We start from the raw sequence: 11,945 nt of genomic DNA, 5'->3' as shown, positions 1-11,945 counted from the left end.
TAGGTAACATCACTGAAGAAATATAAAATCCAGTTTGTCCTGCAACATTACACAGTGTTTGCATTCTCAGATAAACTGTGCTTGTGATTTATGAGCAAAACTTACATAATCTTGCTTCCACCCATAACAGCATTTCTCAAACTTAAATCACACAGATATGTTGTCTTAGTGCATCTGGACTGCTACAACAAAACACCATAGGCTGGGTGACTTATCAACAACAACAATTTACTTTTCACAGTTTTGGAGGCTGGGATCAATATATCTAGATGAAAACATCAGCAGAGTTGGTGTCCAGTGAGGACTCACTTTCTTGTAGACAGCCCTCTTCTCTCTTCAACCTCACCTGATGGAAGACAGAAAGGGTCTCACTTGAGCCTATATCATAAGGGCACTAATCCCATGCATGAGAGCCCTGTCCTCATAACTTAATCACCTCCATAAGGCCCACCTCTACTACCATTACCTTAGAGGTGAGGATTTTGACATATGAATTTTGGGGGGATGTAAACATTCAAACCATAGCATGTGTGTACCCTTTTCTCAATGTCCAATAGCTCTACTAGTGGAGTGGGAGGCCTTGAGATCTATGTTCAGATTTATAGTTCTAGAGTGCCTGTGCTAAAACTGATTTAGACATTATGGAGCTATTTTGAGCATGTGCATTTTATTTAATGTAGCAAAGCAGTAGAGTTTCTTAACCACTTTGTTATGACCAATCAAGAGGTAGCCATTATTGTCTCCCCACAGATTATTTATTAGTTATAATGGAAAAATAATAACTGTAAAGTGGAGTGACATACATCATCTTGCACAGGTGATCAAGATTAACATCAATGAGGAACAAATGTTTACTATTTGCTCTTAGAATACGCTGAGAAAAATACAACATTATTGATGCAGTGTTCTGGCTTGAAATTCACAACCGAAATCTAATAATGAGGAATTATTAGCTAAATTAGATGAGAAGAAACTGAGTAAAATAATAATAATAATGATTTACTATATCCTTCAAGATCTTCAATGAAAGGCTGTGGTGATACTTGACATTACGTAAAGATTCAAGAGACATGACAAGTAAATTTAATATTTGAACTTTGACTAGATTCCCTACTGGAGAATTTAAAAATGTTATAAAGGATATTATAGTGTCAATTGAAGAAAGTGGAATAAGGATGGTAAACTAGTTAAAATGTCAAATGAATGTTAAATTTACTTCATGAAAACTGTGATTATATAAGATAATAGCCTTTTTATAGGAAATAAACATAGCGGTTTTTATTGGTAAAGGGTCCTGATATATGCAACTTATTATCAAATAGTCAATAAAAAATACATATATGAAATTGAATAAAGGACACACTTGTTTTGTATTATCCTTATAGTTTTACCTTTAATGTAAGCTTAAAATAATTTTAAATAAAAAAACTAAAAAAATCTTTTAAACAGCTATTTATTATTTTTTAAATGGATATGAACCACTTTCCTGAAATTTTAAGAAAAAAAAATAATTAAAAGAAAAAGCCACTGAATTATAGGAACAGAATTCAGAATGAGGGTGGAAGAAAATGTTATATATTTTCAAAATTACCTTTGAATGGATATCAAATGCATGCTAATACAAGTAACTGTAATTTCTTCACACACACAGACACACACACACACACAAACATACAAAGATATATCTGTTGAGTTAGCTTCTTATTACAGAGGAAGGAGGTGAGGCATGGAAAATTTACCTAATTTACCCATATAACTATGTAGAGGTGCAAGCCGAGATTTGAATTCCAAAATATTGATTGTATTCTTTGAATTTCTATTATATTAAACTATTATTGTTGTAGTCCAAATTCTCATTTTACAAATAAGAGAAGTAAGATCTTAAGATATGAAGTGACTTGGCTCACGACATGTGGCCAACTAGTGGACTAGATTACTACTATGACTCAACAATTAATTAAAGGACCATGGATGGAAAAACAATGTAAGTGAAATTGACTTAAATTATTAAATTCCATTGGAATGGCCAAGGCAAACTGATGAGATAGATCAAAACATCTCATTAAAATGAAGTAAAGGAAATCCACAGAATAGAAAAAATATTCGTAATATGTATATCCATAAAAGACTCATATGCAGAATAAGTCCTACTGTAATTACTCAATAAGAAAAAGATTAAATAAAATATTGACAAAATTTTAAATTGACAAAAATTGACAAAATTTAAGCCAGGGAAACTGGCTTAAATACATGATACTAGATTACCATTAAATGACCTTCACTCTTTTGAACATGTAGGAATTCATGATTTATACCTTTTAAACTTTCTTTATTAAAATATATTATACATATAGAAAAGTTCACAAATCATAAGTGGAAAGTTTGGTTAATTTTTATAAAGTGAACAACCCTCATTACCTCCTCCCAGATCAAATAACAAATGAAATGGAACACTACCAGCACCCTAGAATCCCCCAATTTTTCTCTTGCCAAGGGGAACTACTATGCTTGGTTTCCTTATCTCTGTCATCACAGATTAGTGTTTTCTGCTTTTTACACACCAAAAATGACATCAAGAAACATGAGCTCTTCCCCATCACTCTTTTGTTTTGCTCAATATTTGTGACAGTTAAACACATTGTCTGTTGAAGTAATGTATTTATTTTCACCATTGCATATTCTTTGTGACTATATCACCATGCATTTGTTCATATTACTGTTGATGGATATGTGGGTAGTTATGAGTAATATTACTGTGCACATTATTATATGTGTCTTTTAATAAACTTCATATATGCATTTTGCTAAAGATTATGCCTAGGACTAGAATAGCTGGAATGTGCAGCTTTAACAGATACTGCTTAACAATTTTCCAAACTGTTGCATTAAACATTCCCTGTAGGAGAGTTCCAGTTGCTCCTAATCCTCACAGACACGTAAAATTGTCTTTTTCATTTTATTTTAGTTATTTCAATGGGTATGTAGTAGAATCACATTATAATTTTATTCACAGTTCTCTGATGACTAATAAGGTAAAATGCCTTTCCAGATGTAAATTTTCCATATCCTCTAATGAAGTGCCTGATTTTGTCAATATTTTATTTAATCTTTTTCTTGAGTAATTACAGTAGGACTTATTCTGCATATGAGTCTTTTATGGATACACATATTACAAATATTTTTTCTATTCTGTGGATTTCCTTTACTTCATTTTAATGAGATGTTTTGATGAATTAACTCCATTTTATCCATCTTTTCATTTTTCATTAGTGATTATTATGGCCTATTTAAGAAATCTGCACCAACTTATAAGGTCATAAAATAGTATCCCGTTTTTTTCTTCTAGAGTTCTTAATGTGTTATGTTTAAATCTATAGGCCACATGCAAATGGCTTTAGGAAATGGTGTGAAGTAAGGGAATAATTTCTTAGAACTGACTCCATTTCTACTGGGTTTACTATTAGGACCCCATCAGGTGTCTCCTCAGAATGTCTCTGTCCTATTACTATGTTTCTTGTCCAGCCTGGGTGATCATGCTACATTAGTCAAGCTTATCAAAACCCTCTGACATGATTATCAAGAGGGTTACAAATGGGAACCTTAAGAAAAATACACCTGTCTGCCTATGCCTGAATATTGTTTCCTGCTAAAGTATGGGAGGAAATGTTACTGCCTCTGGACTGGGATAATATTCTCTCCAGGAGAAATTTAAACTTGGGACATAAAGTTAGTTTGAGCCAAGCAATATAAGTATGCACTGAATCAGATAGCAAGCATGGGAGCTAAATAATGAGGTCAGAAGGAGACTTGCAAAAGTAATGAGTCTATAAATTTTAGAAATGCAGGCCATTTGAAGAGAGCACTTCAGGACCTCTCTGTGACTTCTGTGTTGAGTTTGATTTGACACAGTTATCTTTTATCCAAGCATGGGTGTTACTTTGATATGGTTGGTTAGGCTTGTAATCAGACAAATTCCCATACTAAGAGGGACATTTATTCTTTCCCCTTTTATTGAAAAATTTGCAGCTGTTCATTTACTTCCCACTTACACAGCATGCCTTCATCTAATTCTTAGTAGTTTCGTTTAAAATTTTGCCTCTCTTAATAGAATTAACATAATACTGCTCCCTTCTTATTCAAGTAATCTGAGATTTTTATGCATTCCCACAGCATCTATTTATCTTTTCATTTAATGAACAGTCTCCACATACATGTTTATAACCTGTAGAGAGCTTTAAATGAAGGTATCAACACTAGCCTAGATAAATTGAACTGCCTTTAGCTCCTCAATTCCCTTACGCTCAAAGCAAGATTTTTTTCTCTGACTTTTTAGCCATTTGAGTTGTCCTGGGTAGTCTCTTGATTAAATATTTTACATTCTTGGAGGCCATTTCACTGCTTCGTGGTAGCCAAGTGGCACAGATAATCACATAATTATTTTGGGGGTAACATTAAGTATCCCAAATAATACTTTCTTTTTTTCTTTTTTTCACTCCAAATTATTTAAACCAATGAACTTGCTCTGGGGTCCCTGAAACACCAAATTTCAATACAGGAGTTAAATACAGTATCAAAGCTCATATATGCAGTACTTTGAGTTTCAAACTCTTCCTAAGCTGAGAAACTATTTTTTGCCTTTGTCCAACATGATTGAGTTATTTCTTTATTTAATTTATCAATACTTACAAAGCACATTTATGCCAGGTTCTCACTTAGGAACTTCACAAGTTAACTAATTTAATGTACCTAACAAAGCTATGAGGTAGCTGCTCTGATGGCTCACGTGTCATAAACAAGGATGCAAATGATATTAAGGTTTTTTTTGTTTGTTTTTTGTTTGAGACAGAGTCTCGCTTTGTCGTCCAGGATGGAGTGCTATGGCGCAGTCTCTGCTCACTGCAACCTCCACCTCCCAGGTTCAAGCTATTCTCCTGCCTCATCCTCCTGAGTACCTAGTACTACAGGTGCCTCCCACCACACCTGGCTAATTTTTGTATTTTTAGTAGAGATGGGGTTTCACCATGTTGGCCAGTCTGGTCTCAAACTCCTGACCTCAAGTAATCCGCCCACCTCGGCCTCCCAAAGTGCTGGGGCTACAGTCGTGAGCCACCACGCCTGGTCTGATATTAAGTTAAATAACAAAATAGCTTGACTAAGGTTTCACACCTCAAAAATGGTGAAACTAGTATTCAAATTAAAAAAGTCTGCCTCCATAGTGCATGCTCTTCAACTGCTATACTGATTTATTTATTTGTTTAGAGACAGGGTGTCTCTCTCATCCAGGCTGAGCAATCTCAGCTCACTGAAGCCTCCACCTTCCAGGTTCAAGTAATTCTCATGCCTCAGGCACCTGAGAATTAGCCAGACATCACACCTGGCTAATTTTATTGTATTTTGAATAGCGATGGGGTTTTACCATGTTGTCCAGGCTGGTCTAGAATTCCTGGCCTCATGTGATCTGCCTGTCTTGGCCTCCCAGAGTGATGGGATTACCGGTGTGAGCCACCTCACCATGCCCGTAATACTGATTTTAAAGCAGAGACCATGTTGGAGAAGAAGGGGCTCACTGTAAACTCTGACCTTTGGTTCCAGTTCTCTCATATTGAGGACCTAATTTTGTTTTAAAAGCTTTATGCTTGCCTTGTTCCTTATCTGATTCTCCTGACCTCTTTTACAATCTGCTCTAGAAATAGAGACACATTATTTTTGTTCCTCCTTTATACTGTATCCTAGAGAGAGCAAAGTCTTGTTCTTGATCTCCAGGCTATGACTGACTGAGACCCTGCTTTCTGGTATCAGACATCACTGATGAAGCCCTTGTATCTATACAGGAGTTAAAGTAAAGTACATGCTTAAGCATATACTTTTGTTCAGTTGCTTTTTCAGGATGCACGAATATGCAACTTTCTGTGCTACATTCACGTTAACCACTCACCTATGAAGTTACTAGCCATCTGCCACCATAATTCTTAAATACTGTGTTCTAGCTACTTAACATAACAGATCTTCATCCTCTGTGTGAAGATAGACCAGTTGTGTTCCTTGGGGGTGGGTAAGAGGTGGGGAAGAGATGAACAAGACACTTTTTATTCAAATATTCAACCTACAATTTAATGAGTGCCAGTGGCTAAGTCTCTTAATCTAATTCTCAGAACCTTGGCTTCTCCATTTATAAAATCTAGATAAAAGATTATACATATTCATTAAAATTCTCCTACAATGTTTGGCATGTGTTTTTATCATTTCTGGATTTTGTCAACTCCAGTTTTCTCCCTGTATCTAAAATAAAATCTTCCATGGCAATATGTTAGCAATATTGATAGTACAATTTCTGGCCATTATATTGAATTAGAAGTCCATTATCCAAGAAGTGTCTTGTTTTTGTATTCCTACAGCTGTCTTCTCTTCAGAGTAAGAATTTAGGAGATTAGTGCTAGGGTAAAACAGAAAGCTGCTATGTAAAATGGAAACAACTAAAATGTGATTTTCTATTATTCCAGTTGCAAGATTTAATAACTTATATCTCTATAAGGATAAACATTTAATCTGCTTCAAAACTAAGGACACGCTGAAGAATCTGAAAAAGCAATCATCATTCATTTCCTCAACAAATATTTGGTGGCTATTTTATGTACCTCATCAGCTACATGAAAAATACTGCTTTACAAAACACAACAGGAATATTTCTTTCTTTTTTGCAATAGTCTAATGGGCCAGAAGACACTTAAGTAAGTCAATGAAAAAGTAATAAATTTTTATCACAATGATGATGGATAAAAATGAGATAAATTAAGAGAGGTTCTTTTTAAACAGGGTGATTAGGGAAGATGTCTGAGGATGACATATTTAAACACTCATATTAGGAAGGAGAAAGATCAAACCATTCACAGGCTAGGTGGAAGAACACTTTTGGTCTTTATCTTACCAAACAATGTTTGGCATAAGCTTTTACTCTCCATTTTACAAGAGACTCGTTTAATTGGCTTCTTATATGCCACACCCTCCTCAAGGTTGCTGTCAAATAATGGCAACCGGGACATTTTGCATTATTTAAGCACATACCCAATAGCTCACAATACTATTATCATCTGAATTCTTGGTAATTTTAATTTATACATTAATAATACTTCAAATGTTCCTGCTTCTCATATCCTTAATCTCATCTCTTCCAATGATTATATCCTCCATTCTACCTACAACATAGCCTGCACTTGTTATTACCAGTATTACCAATCCAGTCATTATTTTCATTTTATACATTCAATAATGTGAAAAGCATCTCTGGCTTTTCAGTTTTCCCCTTCTAGGATCTCAAAACCAACAATCCAAGACTCTATCTGAACTATGTTCATAGTCCCTCAGATCCTTGCTGTCTTCAATTTCTTCCTTATTCAGCTCAAAATCCAAGCTCAAAATCAGTATTAGTCACTCCATTATGTGTCTTGAACTCCTTCCCTGGCCAATCAATTTATCTTTCTCAACAAAACCACAATCCTGATTAAATCTAGGTTTTATTTTTCACTCTTGAACCCAGACAACTTCAGTACCTGGGAAAAACAACAACCACATTTATTGATCTCACTTTAAATTCAAGACCACAGACCACAGGTGACGCTTTAATGCTAACATGCATTCATACTATATATACTTAATTCATTCACTTTCTTATGCTAAAATGTATACAGATGTGTGTTACTTGCTTGAGAAATAAATTATAGTGTGTTCTTATAGCTAGAAAGAAGGCCACAAAACCATATAAACATTTTAGAGGATGCCATTTTCCTTCATATAAGAAATAAAGTCATTTTATTTTTTGCTTTTTTGAGTTTCATTTTATTTCAAATGTGTGCAATGACTAGTGGTTAATACAATTTTCATGCAAATGTGTGCATCTAAAAGAATGTACCCAAATACCTCAAGCTACTGACAATAGAATATACAGAGTTAAATCAAGCCACACAAAGATTATTGCTCTCAGCAAATGAATGGCTTGGGGAAAAAAATAAAAATTGCAGAGAATATTACAAATCCTTTACCTAGTAAAAGGATACACAAACTCTACATGGACTATTTACTAAGTATCAACTTGTGCCTCTGAGATTCTGTGAAAACCCTCAGTTAATTACAACATGGATCTCAGCTCTACCCTCTACAATGAAATAGGTTCTTGCCTACCAGGGTTAGGATTTTAGATATTTAATGTTTCCCTGGTCTGCAAAATGCAATAGGGAATATGTACCAACAGGATAAAAGAGATACCTTCAGATAATAGGCTCTTAATCCCCTCCTTAGGACTTTAAATTAGCCCTAAAAGTTTCTTTGTATTTGTCCCTAGATCTTTAAATCCTGGATAAGCATCAAGGTCTAGAAATATGTTCATGTAAATAAGGAAGAATAACCTTCTTGTGGAACTTTCTGTATTAGTTTGTTTTTGAATTGCTGTAAAGAACTACCTGAGACTGGTTAATGTATTTAAAAAAAGAGGTTTAATTGAGTCACAATTCCACAGGCTGTACAGGAAGCATGACTAGGGAGGCCACAGGAAATTTACAATCATGGCCTAAGGTGAAGAGGACTATGGCACATCCTACATGGCCAGAGCAGGTTAGAAGAGAGAGAGAAAGAGGAGGTGCTACACATGTCCAAACAACCAGATCTCATGGGAACTCTATGTCGCAAACAGAAGGGGGAAGTTTGCCCCCACGTTTCAATCACCTCCCACAAGCCCCTCCTCCAACAATCGGGAAATTACAATTTGACAAGAGATTTGGGTGGGGACACAGAACAAAACCATATCACAGTCCTTCAATTTTTTTCATAGACTTAAACAGTGAATGTCTTGATTCTGTTTTCTTTCTACCCCTCTCTCCTCTATAGACATCCAACATTCTGAAATATTTCTTGTTGCTTTTGGTTTTGATTACCTGCCATGAAGAAAGCAATTTATTACCTTCACACACACTAAAATGTTGGAGTGATAGTATTACGTGTTTCAGAAATGTTGAATTTTTAAAAACTTATGGATAAAAAAACTCTAAAATGGAAGAAATTCTTGAAATTTCAGGCACTTAGGAGACAAAGCTCCAGCTTTCACATGTAAGTTGATGGTTGGATAAGGTTGCTTCTTGATATAGACAAGAGAGTGAGAAACCTGTGTTCCATAATTCAGAATTAAAATATTTTTTCAGATAGGTCTGAGATTTGCAGAACATCTATGAAAAAAATTTTAAGATAAAATTAATTTTAAAAAATTAAAAATATTTTAAAAACAATTAAAATGTTCTTTATCTAATGTTTCAATTTATTTCCTCCATTGCAGAATAAGCTAAGTCTTAGTCATTGTGTTCCCAGACAAATGAAGTCTGGCTGCGTGTTCTTGTGGTCCAACAGTGAGATGCAGACAGACTGAGAAAGAAGGGAGTTTATTGCTACAGCTGGTTACAGGGAGAAGGAGTAACTCGCCAGACCAACTCAAATCTGCAAGTTTTTTCCTTAGCTTATATATACAATTCAAGCTTTATGCCTGTGTGCATCTAATCTTATCTAATCTAAACTAGTTGTCTAGGGTAGGAAAGTTTCTTAGATTTGTTCCTGGATGAACAAGGGTGAGAAATTCCAGGTGCGGTTTTAATGGTTTGTTTTTGTGTTCCAGCCCTGGTATTCAGGAACCAGTTTCTCCAGTTCTTTAATGTTTGACTTGTACATTCATCATTACAGCAAAAGGTTTATGGAGACTTGGCTGCTTGTGGCGATCTGGCCTGCCACAATTGCATGTTATTTTATAAATTGCAACAAATTTGAACCATGCGAACTTCAATGTGCCAACAAGTCTCTCTGCAGGATGTCTTCCATTTGGATGCTGGTATGTCCCCACATTCTCCTGTCTGACATTCTACCTCAGATAGGGTGATCAATCATCCCGATTTCTGAGGATGTTCTGCGAACATGGGACCTCAGTGCTAAAACAGAAACAAAATTCAGGCAAAGAGAGAATGTCCTAAGAAAACTAGGACTAATTGGTTACCCTAATTTTCCTTAAAGCATGTATTTGTACCTTGAATATTGTGCTTAGAATTATATATCTGAACACAGGGTTAGCCTATTAGTTTTAAAGACCACTCAAAAAAAGAGTAAAAGAAAAGAACAGTAATGCAGGCATTTCTACCCTAGGCTACTCTCTAACTCTGCCCCAACTCCTGAAATTGATTTTGTGGGGGAACAAAATGACTCAATAGCAAGGCAATCAATTTCAGAAGTTCTATCATGATTTCTTGTATCTCTACTAGCTTGCTCTTGATTTTTCTCTAAGGATTTACAACAACCTTTCTGAATCTCTATTTTTAATCTGGACCTTTGCCAAACACATGATGTGTCAGGACAAAATAAGTCAACAAAGTCAAGAGCCTAGGCTTTGGAGACAGACAAATCTGAAAATGAATCTTGTAAGGGTCCTTTTTGGCTCATACAACTCTAGATGAGAGTCTATCTACCTGAACTGTAATTACCTCACCTTTTAATGTCTTTTCCTATGAGAAAGAAGAAAAGCACATAAAACTTCTAAAACACAAAAGGTTCTTAGTAAATGGCAATTTTTATTAGAAGTTAGGTTTGTGCGCCGGACGCGGTGGCTCACGCCTGTAATCCCAGCACTTGGGAGGCCGAGGCGGTGGATCACGAGGTCAGGAGATAGAGACCATCCTGGCTAACATTGTGAAACCCCGTCTCTACTGAAAATACAAAAAAATTAGCTGGGCGTGGTGGTGGGCGCCTGTAGTCCCAGCTACTCGGGAGGCTGAGGCAGGAGAATGGCATGAACCCAGGAGGCGGAGCTTGCAGTGAGCCGAGATAGCGCCACTGCACTCCAGCCTGGGTGACAGAGCGAGACTCTGTCACAAAAAAAAAAAAAAAAAGAAGTTAAGTTTGTGTTTTATAAATTAAGAATTTTAAAATTTTAATGGCACAAAATTATATATTTATAGCTTCAGGAGGTACACATAAGAATTCATTATATAAAATTTAATAAAATTATTAGAGTTTACCATTTTAATGTAAGAATTTAAAAATGGATATTTAGGCCTCAGAGATATACATTTGCAGCAGAGAAGCAAAAATGTCATAAGCTATGTAAGTATCTATTCTTGAAAAGGTTTGTGTAATTCCATAGGTCAAATTTTCCCAGAGTCATTAAGTCACTTTAAGAAATTGCGATTCTCTTGCACAATTCCGGATGAAGGGTGATATTGGAAGAATTGTTACATGTTCGCAACTTTCAGGTCCACCATTCTTACTGTCTTTTGTTTGTTTTATAAATCTTCTCCTCTTTAGTTTCTTCAATTTAACTCACTGTTTGATATGCTTGCGTAGCTTTCAATTTTCTTCGAATAGTTCATTGCCTGCCCCCACTAACCCCAGACCAGTATTACTTTGACAATATGGTAATAAATTGGCCTAGTGATAACTAAAAGCCCCCATTTTTATCTCATTTTGTACACAGGCGCGCGCGCACACACACACACACACACACACACACACACGCACTATACAGTCTCACAAACTATACTGATAAGGCATGGGCTGATCCCCAAACTGTTTTGGTACAAACAAATTGTGATGATTGCTTCATTTTAGCTTTTTGTATATCTTTCTAAATATGTCTTTTGGTTATGATCCCACCTCAATATTTCCTAGCAATCTATTCCAACAAGAATGTATATTACATTTAAACACATTAAATAGGGTTTTTAAAACATTAAATCAATGCATTGTTTATTTAACTGGCTATTTCTTTTACCCCCGTAATTATTCATAGGGCTGAAGATTCCAAATGGCCTAACCTACAGTTAATTGGAAATATGATTCATAGTCATAAGCTTTCATGTTCAAAATTACTAAAACTTTTTGTAATAGCTTTTAAAATTAGAAGATGAATTATTTTATGATCAATT

This window comes from Homo sapiens, chromosome 2 (genome assembly GCF_000001405.40).
Source record: "Homo sapiens chromosome 2, GRCh38.p14 Primary Assembly".
Taxonomy (NCBI): Eukaryota; Metazoa; Chordata; class Mammalia; order Primates; family Hominidae; genus Homo; species Homo sapiens.
Note: the sequence above shows the minus strand (reverse complement) of the source record.